Genomic DNA, 17792 nt, shown 5'->3' with positions numbered 1-17792 from the left:
TAAGAGCCACCTTCAGCTGGATGAGCTAACACATGAAATCTGGAATCTCTAGCAAGTACAAGCATAGCAAGCTGGCTCTTTATTTTACCCTCCTTGGTCTAACACCCTTAGGATATATTCCCCAGATTTCTGCCAATATATATTAGCAAAGTCTTACAATTCTTTTGGTGTGTCAGCTAGTTCTTCCTGGGTCATAGTGTGTACCTGTCCCTGTGGGGCATGCTGAGATGTAACTGTAGTTATAGGTCTAGTGGCGATAGCGAGTGGTTATGGTAGGTCTTGAGAAGGAACATCCTCTTTTAAGGACTCTGCCCCAAGTGAGGTTATCACAGAGTTTTCAGGCAAAGAAAGGTTAGTCTCCAGAAGGCAAGCTACTTTCGCGAATAGGCAAAGCTTAGAGTGACCTGGAGTTTCAAGATTGTCAGCATCATCTGGGTCCAAGGAGATGGCCCTATTCCAATTTTCAGGTCTCCATTCTTTTCCAATCAATGACCTATAATATATATATATATGTACATGTGTGTACATATACCCATATGTGTGTACATATATACATAGTGATGTGACCGTGAATTTAACTGTTACTATAATTCAGCAACCCTTAAAATGAAATTTAGTGCTTGATTTTCAACAGTATCACCCCTATGCCTGCAAGAACTAAAAGGTTCTTTGTAGTTCTGGTCATAGTCTGTGACTTGACCTGAGAACTGAAAGACATAAGGTTGTCATTTTCTACCTACAGGTGCTTAAGGGCACTCAGAAGGATCTATCCCATACCACTGTCCTTATTGTCATCTTCATTGCCCTAATTGTCAAATGCATCAACTGCTGAGGCAGTCACTTGCTTCAGTTGGCATGTCATCACAATCAACCACAGACGGTAGTAGTCTGACCAATTGTAATGCCCCTGCATGCCATGGATTTCTAGCATCTAATTTCCCTCTGAGGAAGAGCTCAGCCAAAGGAATGACCAAACCAATTCTTAAATTTTATCTTCATTGTCCATCTCCTGGGACCACCTCTCATACCAATGCTGTATCAACCAGGGTCCAACTAAGAGAGAGAAACCACACCACATTTTGAACATGGAAGGTTAAGTATAAAGAATTATCACTTATAGGCTGGGCGCAGTGGCTTATGCCTGTAATCCCAGCACTTTGGGATGCCAAGGCAGGTGGATCACTTGAGGTCAGGAGTTTGAGACAGCTTGGCCAACATGGTGAAACCATGTCTCTATTAAAAATACAAAAGTTAGCCAGGCATGGTGGCATGTGCCTGTAATCCCAGCTACCCAGAGGCTGAGGCAGGAGAATCGCTGGAGTCCGGAAGGCAGAGGCTGCAGTGAGCCAAGATCGTGCTACTGTACTCCAGCCTGGGTGACAGACAGCGAGACTCCATCTCAAAAAAAAAAAAAGAAAATAATTATCATTTATAACAGAGAATAGAGTAATAAGGAGGAGATGGCTAGTGAGAAGGAAAGCAAATTCTAAAGAACATAGGAATAGCAGATATAGGGAGCAGCCACTGCCCTTAGGGATGAGAAACTCTCATTGACGAAGTTCAGTGACTCAGGCTCATTGAATGTCAGAGAATTTGCTGAGGCTGCAAAGCTGGCCAAGGGGCGTGAGGGGAAGCCATTCACAGAGGGTGTTATACCAGTGGCACTAGTGGTACTAATGGTACTCCAGTGCAGAGCCACTTGACGGGTGCCAGGGGAAAGCTCTTCATAGCAGTTGCCTGCAAAGTTACCTGAGAGGGTTTCTGGAGAAGTTGTCCGTGGAAGGTGCTACACACTGTTGGCCACTGGGCACTGCTGGAACTGGGTGCTACAGAAGCCACATGCACTGTAACAACCTGCCTAAAGGAGCATACTACACTGTACAGGTAGAGAAATTTCTTTCTCTAGTGTCCCCCCAATGCTCTCTACTGACAAAGCTTAATGTCATGCCTGCTGGAAAAGAATTTTTTACAGGACTTATCTATATTATCACAAAGCAGACAATGATGGGTATATCTGGAGCCTTGAGGGCATAATCTGGTAATTGGCTTAGTAACCCATTGCCTTTAACTGGAAAAACCTCATAGTGAGGACTGAATTTCACTGGGGTTCTGAAAGGCATTACAAATGGCCTCTTTGAGAAGCTGATAAAAGCTATGGGCTCTCCTTTAGATAAATGCCATGTGTACACATGCACACAGTATTACAGACAATTCAGGAGTATACACATGTTGGCCATCTATCTCTGAACCCAGATTAAGAACCCCTGGGATAGGCCAATGACTCTTCTCCAGGTTTGTTTCAATTTACTGATATTTTCTTAACTTTATTTGAATGTAGTAGGAAATGTTTTTCCAAACTGTTAAACTATATTTGCTTTTTAACAATAATGACAAACATTTGAGAAATATGGAATAGTGTTAAGATAGTTCTAAATTTGGAGGTGAAAGGCCTTTAGAAAGAGAGAGGCTGAATGCCAGTTGAAGGGCAAGCAGTTGTGAAACAGTCGCAACACAGGTATTGGGATTTGGAATTGGATAGTAGTATACAGAAGGAAAAAGGTATCTATTAGACCTGCCATGCTTTGGTAAAGTACATTTGGTAAGCTGGCCTCCAATATGAGACTAACAGTCCTTATCTCTGGGTATTCATGCCCATATTTACTCTCCTCCCAAACTGATTCAGGGCTGGTCTGTGTGACTAAAGAACACAATGCAGGTGACAGTATTTATGTAATTTCCAAGATTAAGTCATAAAAGGCATTGCAGCTTTTGCATTGGTCTTTTGGATCTCTCATTCTGGGGGAATCCAGCTGCCATGTTTTGAGGATGCTCAGGCAGTTCTATAGAGAGGCCCACATGGGGAGGAACTGAGACTTCACACTAATAACCAGCACCAGCATGCCAGCCTTATGAGTGAGACATCTGGAAAGTAGATCTTCCAGTCCCAATCAAGTCTTCAGATGACTGAATGCCACCTGAAATCTTGACTGCAATGCCATGAGAGCCTCAAACCAGGACTCCCAGTTAAGCTGCTCCCAAATTTCTGACCCACAGTTTTGGAGGCAATTTGTTTTACAGCAATAGACAACTAACACATACCCTTAGGTAAAAATTCTCAAAGGGTGAACAGTGTAAGTGATTTGCCCTCTTTCCCTTACTACTTCTCTGGTCACCTAAAAGAGCCTCAGTGAGATGGTATTTAGCTACGATATTCTCCAATTGTTATCCTAAATAAGTCACTAGATTGAATCATCAGAGAAACAAGAGGTTTCTCTCTTAGCCAAATGGTCACTGTAAATACTGACTAGACATAGAGTTCCTGAAAAGCAGGAAACTCAACTGCTAAACCAGATTAGGTAGATTTCTATTAACAAACTAATAGAAATACAGACGTGTCTTTATGAAGACTATTATAGGGAAATCACAATCTGTATGAACTACTGTGCCTATTGTGTTCATAATTTATGGGGGAATTTACAAACTAGTGTGTTCAAAGGTGAGTCACTATTCTGAAAGATCTGGAAACTAAAGAATTGTTGAAGGATCTAAGGCTATTTAGTCTGCAGAAGATATAAAGAGCATTTTACAGCTGTCTATTTGAAGGGCTGGCATGTGGAATAAGAGTAAACACATTTTGGATTGATCATTGTAGGCCCAATGACAAATTATAGGAATGCAAATTTCAATTCACTTATAAACACCATGGCTGTTTAACAACCTGTCATGTTGCAGTAAAAACTATGGTGCTCCTTGTCTCTGGAAAGAGCTATGTCAATTGGCTGATCACCCTTCAGAGATGTGGTAAGACTGATTCATTCTGGCAGTACCTAGAAGACTGATCTAGATGATCTCTAAGATGTTCCTGAAAGCCTTTTCCTCCTGAATGTGTCTTGTTACCCATGATTATCTTTAAGTAATAAAGTTCAGTGTAGTGGAAAGTGTGTGCATTACAGTGGGGACAGAGCTCTATTTGGAACTTACTGTGTGATTTTGGGCAGGATACTTACCCTTTCTGAGCTTCAGTGTCCTCATTATCTCTCGAGACTGTTCTAAGAATTCATTAGATGACATATAATTCAAAACACCATTTGGGATTTAATGAATGGTTTTGTTTCATTTCCTACAAGATGACTTGTGATCAAACATCTGGGACCATTTACGATTTTTAAAGTAGAGTGTTGAAATGAGCTAATTTTCTTAGGCTTCCAATGTAGGTTTTCATTTTTTAAAAACAATAAACTTGATTAAGATTTGATTAGATGCTTTGTGACACAGTCTCTTTAAAAAATGACAAGGATGGTGAAAGTAGAAATGAATGGAATCAGAAGCCAGATGGCCAACATCATCTCTGAAACTTGAAACCGCAAGATCATCACTTGAAGTCTTTCCTTCCAAGAGAGCTAACAAACTCAAACTATACTATTCAACATCATAAAAGTATTTTAGCTTCCTGGAAGGTACTCCAAATTTCAGTAAGAAAAGCTCAGTGACAAGCACTTACTTTGAATTTTTAAAGGAAACTGTAATCTCACTGAATGAATCAATTTTTTTTTTTTTTACTGTTTTTCCCCAAGATGGAGGTCTCACTCTGTCACTCAAGCTGGAGTACAGTGGTGTGATCTTGGCTCACTGCAACCTCTGCCTCCCGGGTTCAAGCGATTCTCCTGCCTCAGCTTCCTGAATAGCTGGGACTACAGGTGCGTGCCACCATGTCCAGCTAATTTTTGTATTTTTAGTAGAGACGGGGTTTCATCATGTTGGCCAGGCTGGTCTCAACCTCCTGACCTCAAGTGACCCGCTCGCCTCGGTCTCCCAAAGTGCTGGGATTACAGGTGTGAGCCACCGCCCCAGCCACAATATGTGTTTTCTAGCTGTTCTCTTTTACACCTCAAAGAAGAAGTGGAAGTAAACAAACATCCCATTAATTCACAGAAAACCATTATTTACAAATAAGTTTCTTCAAATTTATATTTTATTTGTTAACAAAGAGAGCTACCCAACAGTCAGAAATCACTGAATTGCTAAACTCACTTATTGTGTACTGAATAGTTAATATCGCTAAAGCAGAAATTATACTTATTTTTTAATTTTTAATTTCCATAGTTTTTTGGGGAACAGGTGGTATTTAGTTACATAAGTTCTTTGGCGATTTTTAAGATTTTGGTGCACCCATCACCCGAGCAGTATATACTGAACCCAATTTGTAGTCTTTTATCCCTTACGCCCTTCTCACCCTTTCCCTGAAAGTCCCCAAAGTCCATTGTATCATTCTTATGCCTTTGCATCCTCATAGCTTAGGGACATATGAGAACATATGATGTTTAGTTTTCCATTCCTCAGTTGAAGTAGAAGTATTATATTTATTATTAATGATCATGACTCTTTTATTATCTATTACCATATTATATTACCATGGTACTCTTGAGAGTTCTCATTACGGGCTTTTTTTTTTTGAGACTGAGTCTCACTCTGTCGACCAGGCTGGAGTGCAGTGGCACAATCTCAGCTCACTGCAACCTCTGCTGCCAGAGTTCAAGCAATTCTCCTGCCTTAGCCTCCCTAGTGGCTGGGATTACAGGCATGCACCACCACACCTAGCTAATTTTTTGTATTTTTAGTAGAGATGGGGTTTCACCATGTTGGCCAGGCTGGTCTTGAATTCCTGACCTCAGGTGATCCACCTGCCTCAGCCTCCCAAAGTGTTGGGATTACAGGTGTGAGCCATCGCACCCAGCTGGGGCTATCTTTAGTAGCAGATGGTAACTGAGCTGGGCAATTGTTCTTTGACATTTCCAGTTCTTATCTGTTAACATGGACAGTGATTTAAATAGGCAGCTGCATGGACGGCCTCTCCCTAACTGCTGCTATCTTGTATCTCCTCATTGGTAATTATTTTTCCTAGCCCAAATTCCACGTCAAACACTATCAATATTCTGGGGACCACCCTTTCATACACTGCTCTGTACACATACCTGTTTATACATATTTTAACAAAAGTGGAATATTTACATACTGTTGTTATCATAGCCAAGCTCAACAGCATCAAAAGCATTTTTAGGTACTTAATTCAAGTGGCTGTAAAATTTAAAAAAAATCATTTTTTCTGATACTATATCATCTTTGTACCCGTATATTTCAATTTCTTGAATGTTCATTACAATTTTATTTTTACTTTTTATTCTTTCTTGAGACAGAGTCTCACTCTATCACCCAGGCTGGAGTGCATGGTATGGTCTCAGCTCACTGCAACCTCTACCTTCTGGGTTCAAGCAATCCTCCCACCTCAGCCTTCAGAGTAGCTGGGAACACAGGCGTGCACCACCACGCCCGGCTTATTTTTGAATTTTTTTGTAGAGACGGGGTTTCTCCGTGTTGCCCAGTCTGGTCTTAAAGTCCTGAGCTCAAGCAATCTGCCTGCCTCGGCCTCCTGAAGTGCTGGGATTAGAGGCAAGCCACTGCGCCCAGCCTTTATTACAATTTTAAATGTTTTTCTCTGTGTTAGCGAACCTTTGATGGACTGTTTTAAAGAGTGTTAAAGAGTGTTTAAATCACTGTGAAATGCACATTCTGTCTTAATATTTATAATTATTAGGGTACCTTCATTAATAGTGTACATTGCATAGTGCCAAACGAGATCACCACATCACTTCTAAAGGATTCCTGGAAGTCTGAGTCACAAGCATGAGACAACAGCTGCAGGACTGGGTGGTGAAGGTTGTGAAAACTTCCTGGCTTAAACAGGAATTTGACCCAAAACAAGAAGTCTTAGGGAAGATAGCTTAGGGCTTGTCTGGTGGCACCACAATGCCATCAAATGCCCAGCCTCTTTACAGTTTTCTGCTCTGCCATCCTTGGAATGCAGGCCATTGTTCTCCTGTTTGTTGTTTCATGACTGAACTATGAGTGCTGTAGCTCTTCACGTTCCTCCTGGAAGACAGGTGTAGGGCAAAGATGAGCTCTGATTCGCAGAGCCCTTCCATCTATATGCTTTCTTAGAAGCCTCAGCAATAAGTTCAACATTCAACTCATTGGCTTGAAGTGTGTCAAATGGCTGCCCCTTGCTTCAAAGGAGTCTGAGAAAATAACTTTAGCTAGAATTAAAGTTCCATTAGAGTGCCTGGGTAGACAAAGAAGAGTCAGCTACAGAAGGCCAGTATCATAGCAAGTTGTTGCTCCATGACTGGAAACAAAGAAGACTTCACTCTTTACTTCAGATGCGCAGTTGATAGAGTACAGCTAAGATATGGTACGTGTTCTACCATGAAGAGCAAGAGCAAGGTGAGGGAGGGTACGGTGTAAGAGATCCTGCTGCATTAGCTGTTGAGAGGAAGAATTTCCTCCTGGTCACTATGTTACTGGGGGTCCTTGCTCCCCAAGTTCCCAAGATGGTGGCAGGTCGCTTCCAAGATGGTGACGGGCCACTTCCGAGATGGTGGCAAGTCTTGTGTTCTCTGACCTGGGGTTCTTGGCCTCATGGATTCCAAGGAATGGAATCTTGGGCCAAGCGGCGAGTGTTATAGCTCTATTAGAAGCTGTGGGTCATGGAAGAGAATCGTGGAACCCAGTGACTAGTGTTTAGCTAGATTAGGACGAACCTGGGCACTTAGCCCTGCAGGAACAAGGGCAAGCCTTTAGCCCGATCAGGAGCAGCAATGGGCGCCTCGCTGGATCCAGAGGGATGGAAGTCAGCTGTGGGTCTGTGACAGCGGCAGACAGCAGTGGTGGACGGTGAGCGAAAGCTCAGCTTGAGCTGTGACACACACGTACCAGAAAAGTGTGCAATTGCAAGATTTAATAGAGTGAAAACAGAGCTTCCATACAAAGGGAGGGGACCCAAAGAGGGTAGCCACCGCTGGCTTGAATGCCTGGGTTTATATCCTGATCATTGTCCCTCCTGTTGTGCTCTCAGGCGATAGATGATTGGCTACTTCTTTACCTCCTGTTTTTCCCTAATTAGCATTTTAGTGAGCTCTCTTTACTACCTGATTGGTCGGGTGTGAGCTAAATTGCAAGCCCCGTGTTTAAAGGTGGACGTGGTCAATTTCCCAGCTAGGCTTAGGGATTCTTAGCCAGCCTAGGAAATCCAACTAGTCCTGTCTCTCAGTACCCCCTCTCAACAGGAAAACCCAAGTGCTATTGGGGAGGTTTGACCACCGCTCTAACTGCTTCCTGCTGAATTGGGGCACAGTAGGGGTTGTGCAGTTGAGATTTCCTCCGTAGGGGTGCCTTGTCTCTCAACTAATTCAGTGGTGGCTACCTCGAAGCCCTTCTGAAGCTAAGAGGGAAAGAGACCAGCTCGCAAAGTCCCCTATGTTATCTACTCCTAAGTGGAAGCTGGGAGCTGTGAAAATGCACATCTAACAACCCTTAACTTACTATACCGACTTCTAAACCACAGTAGAAAATGAAGAAAAGTTCGGCTATGGGCAATAGACTCAACCTTTTGTTCTATGTCTAACCTATAAAATAGAAAAATAATACTGTCATCCCTCATCTCCCACCATACTGAACACGCATTAGGTGCTCAATGAATACTTGTCCATTTTAGTGAAGATTAAGAGGAATGAGACGGAAACTGACACTTGAGAGGCTGGCACACGCCAGAACTGCACCACACTTTGCACTCATAGCTCATTTACTCATCAGCTTGTGGTCAGGTAGGCATTACCGTCCCCATTAGAGAAGTCAACGGAGGCTCAGCAAGGACGGCCAGGGTCCCCCAGAAAGTAGAGGAGGACTTCAGGTTTAACCAAAAGCCTGTACTCTTTACACATGTACCCCATGCCTTCTCCACCAAAGCTCCTGGCACCGTGCTTTGCAGACAGACGACGCTCAACACATTTTGAGCAGAAGCGTGGTTCAGCACCAGGAAGGACACCAACTTTTGCAGAGACGACTCTTGGGATGGAGAAAGACTTCCCAAATCTTCAGGGTGCGGTCAAGACAGGGTAGGCTAGCGCCAGGGGAGCTAGTGGCTAGGCCCCAGGGCAGCTGGGGCCGAGGCCGAGCAAACGGCCAGGGGAGAGGCTCCCAGGAGCCCGATCTGCCGCTGGGCGACGCGAAGCCTGGCGGCTAGAGTCCCGGGCAGCCCGAGCACGGCGGGAAGGCGGCAGCAACAGGATCGGCAGGGATGGCGGGGACGGGGGAGGTCCATGTGCAGGGGCGTGCCGCCGGTGACGCACTTCCGCCCTGCCTGTTCCGGCTTAAAGGGGCCCCAGACAATCCTCGCAATAACAACAAAACCGGCGCGCCAGCGGTGGCGCAACGGCTCTCGTCCCCGCCCTCCTGCTACCTGTAGTCGCCTGGGCCGCCCCCGGCCCAGCCCTGCCTTGCCGCCACCCTGCGCTGTCCAGACTGAGGGGTCAGGCGGAGAGCCGGGCCGCGCCTTCGGTCAGCTTCTCTCCCTTTCACCCGCGCCTCCTCGCGAGACCCGGGGCTGGGCCGTGCCGGTCGCCGCGCAGCAGGAAGGGAGCGGCTGCCACGGAAAACGCCTGGCCGGACGGTGTGGCTGGCGGCCCTGCCTGGGCGCGGAGGGCGGCGGTGGCGGGCCCCGCGGCCTTCTCTCAGGTACCCCAGTGCCCGCTGACCGCCCTGAGCGGCCCAGCTGCTTCCCCGATCCGCACCGCGGGGCCGTGGCGTAGGGGCCTTGTTGCGTTCCAGCTTGGGGGTCGCGGTGGGGCGGGGCAGTGACCCCGGGCCGGCCGTTGTGCCCTCATCCCTCCCACCCTTCCTTCGTATAGCTTCCTTTCTCCTCACGACGGCCTCCACAGTCCGGAGCCCGGCGGAGCCCGGACCTGGCGGGGAGAGCTGCCTCCACGGCCGGGCACCCAGACCCCACCGTCGCAGTCGCCACCACCTCAGTCCATCCTTGGTACCGGCAATGGGCTTCGTATCCTCCAGTGCACTTGTAACTGACTTGGACACGGAATACTAAGAACTCACTTCTGTCCTCATCCCAGTCGCGCCGGCGGTGACCATCTCGGCTCTTTTGGGCTTAACTGCCGCTCCTCTGGACTCTGTCTGACTTTGGGGGCACCATGGACCAAAGTGGGATGGAGATTCCTGTGACCCTCATCATTAAAGCACCGAATCAGAAATACAGTGACCAGACTATTAGCTGCTTCTTGAACTGGACCGTGGGGAAACTAAAAACGCATCTATCTAACGTTTACCCTAGCAAACCAGTAAGTGTGTAAAAGCTGGGGGCAGCTGCTCTGACCAGCAGCTTTTCGTGCCGTGTACCCTCCTTTTTCCTGCTTCTCCCCTCCAGTCTTGAATCAAATAGGTCTCTTTTGGTAGACCGCGAGGTATTTTGAGTTCTGAGGTTGTGTCTCCTGAGTGTTCGAACCATCATTAATATTTTCCTGATGAGGTTCAGTTAATTAGTAAGAGGAAGCAGAAATATCAAGGGACTTAAGAATTGGCAGGCAAAGACCGGGCGCGGTGGCTCACACCTGTAATCCCAGCACTTTGGGAGGCCAAGGCGGGCGGATCACGAGGTCAGGAGTTCGAGACCAGCCTTACCAACATGGTGAAACCCTATGTCTACTGAAAATACAAAAATTAGCTGGGCGTGGTGGCGCATGCTTGTAATCCCAGCTACTCAGGAGGCTGAGGCAGGAGAATCGCTTGAACCCGGGAGGCGGAGGTTGCAGTGAGCCAAGATCGCACCACTGCCCTCCAGCCTGAGTGGCACAGTGAGACTCTGTCTCAAAGAATTGGCAGGCATGGAAAAGGGACTACTTTCTTTGGACTTAAAGTCATCAACCTAATATGCGAGTGAGAGATATATCCTTTCTTAAAAAAAAAAAAGATAAAGCACTACAACCCGTATCAGAGCTTTTATTGCTTATTACACTAAAATTCCATTTTACTTTCAACACTTGGCCCAGAAACTTAAACAGAAATTGAAGATTTTTTTTTCTTAGAAATAAGTATGTGTCCCCTATAAAAATTATACTTTCAAGGTTACTATATATGTTTCAAGGACCAAAGAATTATAAGTTGTAGATTCGTTTTCACCACAACCCCTTTCAACATTTTTCTCCTGTAGAGGATACATGGACATTAGTTTAAAAGAGAACTGCCCTCCACCCCACCACCATTTGGTGCATCCCTCTCATATGGCTTTTCCATTCTGTGTTCCATTCTGAATCATAACTGGATATTGCAGAGATAATAAATAAAATATAGACAGTACAGCTCCATCTGTCCCCAAAGTCAGATTTGAAAGGCCGTGGTTGGTAATCAAGGAGTCTTGGAATAGTTTAGAAAAGAAGTATACCGTCATGTAGAGTACTGTATATGAAAGTGAGGCTTTCGCATTCTCCACTGTATACATTTTTTATTCTTGAATAAGTAGTGTTTAATTACTAAAACTTTTGTTTAATAAAGAGGGTCGGATTTTAGGGTGGGAAATAACTTTTGGCATCAGGTACATTTAAGCATGGATCTGTTGGAAGGCAACTATGCTTTCTACACTTAACACTTGTTTTATGCACCTAAGTTAAGGAAGACACTTGATCTATATTACGATATTAATGAATTATGAGCATTTCAGTGTTGTAGTATTAAGTTTAGTTAGGCTTTTAGACTTGCAGAAGAACCACAGAAATAGGACGGTTATTGCAAAAACAGGAGGTTTAGAAAAACAACTCTTAATCGGCATTAGCTGTGTTTATCAGTACTTTGTGATACAAATATTTTTAGTAGGAGGGAAAAAAAACCCTGAGGAATTTAAGTACTTAAACTAGTTAGAGCCCCTGTTTATTCACATCTTTTGTTTGAAAGTTAAGATTTACACAGGGAGTAAGAATCTGTTTGAAAATACCTTGATTACAAAAGATTTCCTGTTGCATATGATTAGTTTCACACATTTTTGAAGTGGAAAATAGGTTTTTAGGATAGTCAATTGAAAGTCATAGACTTCCATAATACTGTTCATAGCAAATATATGCTCTGGTATGTACGTAGGCGAGATCTTTACATTGTACTATTAAACCAAAAGGGACCTAGTCTGCAGTTTATAGACTTTTTTCTAAAGCTTTTTTAAAAAAAAGTACCTGAGACGGGAGTGGGAAGCCTGTCTGCCTTATCTACCCATGAAGAGGCCTGCTTTTGGCAGGAGGTCTGCCTGTGCAGCACTGATCACTAGTGGAGGATGTCAGTGCCGCTGTGCATTAGTTAGCTGTCTGAGGATGAGATCTGTTACAGAACTCCTTCCCAAACTGCCTGCCTCCTGTAGCCACACTGGAGACACTTTTGGAGGCTAAACCAAATACTATGCAGCCTATTAATGATTAACATGGCAAACCTTTTTTTCTCCTTTGACAAGTTTTCTTTAAGTGAATTGTAATGTCTGACTTTCATTTCTAGGTTGAGTGGGTGGAGCTCTGGAGCGGTGGGGGTATGTGTGTTTATCGTCATAGAATTTCACTGAAAACTTTGTATAGTTACTAGATTTAGTAAGTTTACATTCTTATCACGTGAGAATTGATTTGAAGCATCACAGTTGTTGAGCAGCAGTTTAATGGTATCGCAAAGCCATAGGTAGTCCTCAGCATAGGAGTTGGAGTCCTAAAAGTTTACTTTGTAAGGTCATTATTTAGAATTCAGCACAGTTTGCTATTAAGTAATATTATAAAGGAAGTTTAGGTTTTTCTGACCGCCTGCAATGACTAAACATTGATTCTGTGTTTTAGTTTTCAAGTGCTGTTATGTTTAACAGAGATAATTTCTTGTGCATCTTCCTTGCACATATGCCTACTTTCATTATCAGTGTGTGGACTTAGCAGAGTAGGGCTCCAGTGCTTTGTAGGAACAGGAGTGCCCCAGTAAGTAAAAAGTTGATGGCTCTCATCAACATTGCTCTAATTGGATCTGATGGGTCAGGAGTAGGTGGAGGGACTTTGTTCCTGTGGGCAGTGGCTTCTAGGAAAATAAATTGGTGCTGCTAGAGGGGAAAGAATGGAAATTTGAGATTGTCCTTTTAGGATCCTACAAAGATAGGTCATATGTCTATATGCTGTTAATGGAATTCTGGCTGAACTCTATGAAGTTGTAAAATCTTGGGATCCTAGCTTCATGGTCAGATATTGATTTGACTAATCACAGTCTCCATATGGGTATATTAAATTCACTTCTCCCTCCCCTAGCAAACTTAGAACAAATGTACCCCTCCCCCTCAAAGCACATTTTTTTGGGTCTTCATTTATTTATATAACTAGGATTTTATTGGCCTAGCATTTGAATATTTATGCTAAGTGTGAAGATGATGGTAAGAGTCCTTTGCTTTTGTGAAGCTCAGATCCAGTGACATGTAAGTAAATAAGCGTAATAGTATGTGACTAGTATTATACAGGAGGGATGTTCTGTGTGTTGCATAGGAACACAGGAAGGGAATGATCATCTCTGGAGTAGGGGTTAGGGGAATGTGTAGCTGTTTCAAGAAAAGATTCACGGGGACATTTAAGTTTTCTTAAAGAGTTGATTACAGTTTTAAGCAGACAAGAATCAGACTCTGATAGCTTCCTTTTTTATACCGTTCTTTTTTTTTTTTGAGACGGAGTTTCGCTTTTGTTTCCCAGGCTGGAGTGCAATGGCGCTATCTCGGCTCACTGCAACCTCTGCCTCCCGCCTTCAAGCAATTCTCCTGCCTCAGCCTCCCAAGTCGCTGGGATTACAGGCATGTGACACCACGCCCGGCTAATTTTGTATTTTTAGTAGAGATGGGGTTTTACCATGTTGGTCAGGCTGGTATCAAAGTCCTGACCTCAGGTAATCCACCCACCTCGGCCTCCCGAAGTGTTGGGATTACAGGCATGAGCCACCACTCCCGGCCTTAACTATTCTTTTGGAGTTAATGTTTGCACTGATGACTTTGTTTTATATTAGTATATTACTTAGTAATACAGTATTAGGTAAAAAGATTATAGATCCTTAATGATCTGTGAAGGGAAAGGTGTTTTCTGGTTAGGAATTTAGGCAGTTGCCATATTTGTGAAAATGTTCACAAAGTCATAATTAAAAACCTCGGATGTGGAGTTGAGCTGTTTTGGAGTTAACTTTGAATGATATTGATAATTGGTTTAAGACTTGGTTTAGGAAATGGGAAGTGCACTAGTTTATATTACAGAATATATAGATAATTGTGAGTTGTAATATGACATTTGACATCACTTCATGACTAGTTTTTCAGATCCTGAAATTGGGCTGCACTGTGAAATAATTCTAAAATTTAGGTAATTGCTGTTTGGTGGTGAAGATACTTGGCAAGAAGACCACTTTTACTTGAGTTTCAGACTTTAATCTGAGTTTAGACTTAGTTATTATAGATGTAAATACCAAAACGGTTGATAATAGATGGATCATCCTAGAGAAAAATTTTAAAAATATGAATATCCAAGTCCACTTAGGTACCTTTCTCATTCTCTTACTATATCTGTTCTCATGAACAAGCAGTCACTAAGATGGACCTGACTCACTCTGAATTCAGTTTTGAAGGCAAACCTTTTTGGGGCTTGCATGGCTTGGCTCTCCATTTTTCAGTCTTGGGGTCAAAATACCTCTGATTGTGTCCCTCAGTTCTGGGCAGATTTCCTCTGTCTTTGCTGTTCATACTGTTAAACCAAAGCAGTCATTTTCTTATCTACCTCTCCTGATCAGTTAAGCAGGTTTGTGCTGTTTTTTCAAACTGTTCCTTTACTCTCAGATTCTATTAGAATTAAAGAAGCAAGAATAGAACCAATTGTATATATAGGTTCTGTTGTGAGATTATAACACTCCATAACCAAATTGCCTGCAATCAGAAGTCTTACTTTCATTACAGGTAGAAATAGCTTATATCATTTGAAATTTTATCTCTCTTAGTTTTGTAATTTCCTATTACCTTACTTAGGTCATTTTAAAAAGTCTACTTGTTTAACCATTTTGGAATTGTTGATTTAAAGGGGCTATAATCCATAAACAAAATAATTTTTGTTTTATAAAACTATTGTCTTATAAGATTTTAATACATTTAAGAGGGTTTCATGTCGCCTGGGAATATAGTTCAAGATTTTAAAACCTCTTTTGAACAAAGGGTACTATCGAATGTGAAAGTTGATGAAAAACAGACTAAAAGTTTTGAATGACTGCTCACTAAAATTTTATTGCTTAATGTATTTGTAGCCTTATGTCTTTTTGGAAAATATAATAACATTATTATGAAGGTAATGTTTAATCATTTCTCAATACTTTCCAGATAGAATTTTTGTAGAACTTTTAGCTTAAGTTTCTTTTTTTAACATAATAAATTCTGCTTTGATTGTCTAGAATGCTTTTATTTAACTGCTCTGACTTTGCCATTTACTAAGTGTTTGCCATGTGTACCAGGCATTATAATAAGCATTTGATATGCTTTATCACATATATTCCTCCTAGACTTCTTATGATGTAAGGTTTATAATTAGCTCTACTTTATAGATGAAGAAACCGAGGCTTGGTGATTTTTTTTTTTGCTTAGGTCAGACTCTAAGGAGTGGAATTAGAATTTGAACCCAGGTTGGACTTACTGTACACATCATATGTGATGGTTATGTATAATAAGATGAAGAAAGGCATTTAGGGACTCAGCCATCTCAGTTATATACTTGTAAACTAAAAAGAACCAGTTGAGCTATAAAAAGAGATTTATATGTTTGGCTGGTTTGTTGTCTAAAGGCTGTAGATAAATGGATAACAGCCTTACTATGGTGCTAACACTTAGCTTAATGTGTGGTTATATCTCTTTATTCTGATAAATTATAGGAAAGATTAGATGCATAATATCTTAAGACTGCAGCGCACATATCTTTGTCCTGTCTTCACAGTCTACCAGTTGGTGTGAACCATAGTCATATACTTTGACAGGCTCTATTGAACATCAGAGGTGTACATCACTTGGTGTGTGAATATCATATATCTCTACCCATGAGTGGAAGCAGTTAAGCTGGGAATATCTCTTTGGAGTTCCAGAGAACATTACTCTGTAATATTCTGTAGGTACAGTTTTGCTTACTGTTACTGCAAGGAGATAAGGGGTAGAGGCAGTTTGGGTGACTGTGCCTCTATTTATAGTGTTTCTGAATTTTCAGGGTTTTTAGATTGGATGCTTTTAGTGGGAAATGGGAAGGAGATGTGTTCTAGTACAAATTTACAGAATTCATTTCCCACAGAAATGATATTTTGTGCACTTCCTGGGACCCAGCTCTTTAAAGCTATTTGATATTTGTGACTGAACTATATGTAAGTACTTAATAGTTACTACTTTTAAAGGACTAGATTATAGTTCATTGAACTAACCTGTAAGTTGAAGATTGCCTTTACTGAACTATTAAGATGATAGATATTTTAAAATTTTTAATTAATATTTTTAAATTAGCATATGAAATTTGATTATGCTGAAGTTGGATATACTAGGAACATGATTTTTAAGCCATACATAATTGAAAGACCCATTTAATCCTTGACATAAAAAATTTAATCATTTGATACTAACTAGGTGACTTTCTTGAAATATAAAAGTATTGTTGGCTTTAAACCCATTTATCAGACTCCAGGAGATATTTTAAATGTGTTAAGGATGTATGATATTTGATCTGTTTCTGATATTTGGTTAAACATTAAAGGGTCAGACACTTTCAATAATGGCATATACATAAACCTTTTAGAAACAACAAAAAAGTCCAGGTTAGGACTTATTTTAACCTGTTATACCAGCAAGTGAGCTTTCCTCACCTTGGTTTTTAGCAATGTCTGTTAAGTGGGTAGCAGAGGTTTTCTCGGCCAGCTAGTTAAGCAGCTGTTTATTTGAAGTGGGATATTTCTGTTTCTGGGCCACTCAGAGTACATCAGGATGTTTCCAACTTGTTCTTTGTCTTATTATTTGGCTGATTCTGCACTGCCATCTGTGACCAGGCTTCATTTAGGGTGAAGTATTGGTGGTGAAAGTAGTGAACCTGATAGAATTTGCTGACTATTGGATGTAGGGGTGAGTACCAGGAAGAATAGTGGTGGTGGTAATGGAGAGGCCAATTATATTTATATGTTACTCTGTGGAGCCAGTATCTTATCATTAGAATCTTTAAATTGACAATTTAACTAGTACGTTTAGATTTGTGAACCCTGAGTCTTCTGAATTCTTATATTAGAAGGGTACCATGCAATGTTTTTTAAATTGAGAAACGAATGAACTTTTATTGTGTTAAGCTACTGAGATCTTGGGATTTGTTATAGCAACTATCATTACCCTAACTAATATAGAAATGGGTTTGTTTTGGTTTGCTTTTTTGAGACAGAGTCTCGCACTGTCGTCTGGGCTGGAGTGCAGTGGCGTGATCTCAGCTCACTGCAACCTCTGCCTCCTGGGTTCAAGTGATTGTCCTGCCTCAGCCTCCTCAGTAGCTGGGATTACAGGCGCCTGCCCACCTAATTTTTCTGTATTTTCAGTAGAGACGGGGTTTCACCATGTTAGCCAGGCTGGTCTCGAACTCCTGACCTCGTGACTCGCGCCCCCCCCCACCCCCCCACCCCCCCCCCCCCAGCCTCCCAAAGTGCTGGAATTACAGGCGTGAGCCACCACCCCTGGCCTGGAAATGGGTTTGGTTTTTTTTTTTTTTTTTTTTTTTTTTTGAGACGGAGTGTCGTTCTGTCGCCCAGGCTGGAGTGCAGTGGCGGGATCTCGGCTCACTGCAAGCTCCGCCTCCCGGGTTCACGCCATTCTCCTGCCTCAGCCTCCCAAGTAGCTGGGACTACAGGCGCCCGCCACTACGCCC

General features: G+C 42.5%; 1 protein-coding gene and 1 long non-coding RNA gene across 6 annotated transcripts in view, besides 2 other annotated features; one reads left to right on the top strand and one right to left on the bottom strand.

Moving 5' to 3' along the window:
* Positions 1–4954: 4954 nt before the first annotated feature.
* On the bottom strand, positions 4955–9162 carry HERPUD2-AS1 (HERPUD2 antisense RNA 1). The gene has a single exon (NR_136255.1). It is a non-coding gene; the product is annotated as an HERPUD2 antisense RNA 1 (long non-coding RNA).
* Positions 9207–10094: an enhancer, noted in NCBI's record as "H3K27ac hESC enhancer chr7:35733884-35734771 (GRCh37/hg19 assembly coordinates)". NCBI's record gives its function as "activates a minimal SCP1, AML or CMV promoter by ChIP-STARR-seq in naive H9 embryonic stem cells {active_cell/tissue: H9 hESC(naive)}" and the evidence as "EXISTENCE:reporter gene assay evidence [ECO:0000049][PMID:30033119]".
* HERPUD2 (HERPUD family member 2) overlaps positions 9233–17792 on the top strand; it is a 62477-nt gene continuing 53917 nt past the window's right edge. For 3 of the 5 annotated variants that reach the window (NM_001438071.1, NM_001438072.1, XM_047420699.1), the window contains exon 1: positions 9233–10184. In NM_001438071.1, the coding sequence (NP_001425000.1) occupies positions 10038–10184 (147 nt within the window). In that variant the 5' untranslated portion in view covers positions 9233–10037. The remainder of the gene's footprint in view (positions 10185–17792) is intronic. The other 2 variants (NM_001438070.1, NM_022373.5) reach the window with 1 other exon arrangement.
* Positions 9355–9764: a silencer, noted in NCBI's record as "silent region_18096". NCBI's record gives its function as "represses an Ori minimal core promoter by ATAC-STARR-seq in GM12878 lymphoblastoid cells {active_cell/tissue: GM12878}" and the evidence as "EXISTENCE:reporter gene assay evidence [ECO:0000049][PMID:35858748]".

This window comes from Homo sapiens, chromosome 7 (assembly GCF_000001405.40).
Source record: "Homo sapiens chromosome 7, GRCh38.p14 Primary Assembly".
Classification (NCBI taxonomy): domain Eukaryota; kingdom Metazoa; phylum Chordata; class Mammalia; order Primates; family Hominidae; genus Homo; species Homo sapiens.
Note: the sequence above shows the minus strand (reverse complement) of the source record. Positions and strands in the feature narration are given on the sequence as shown.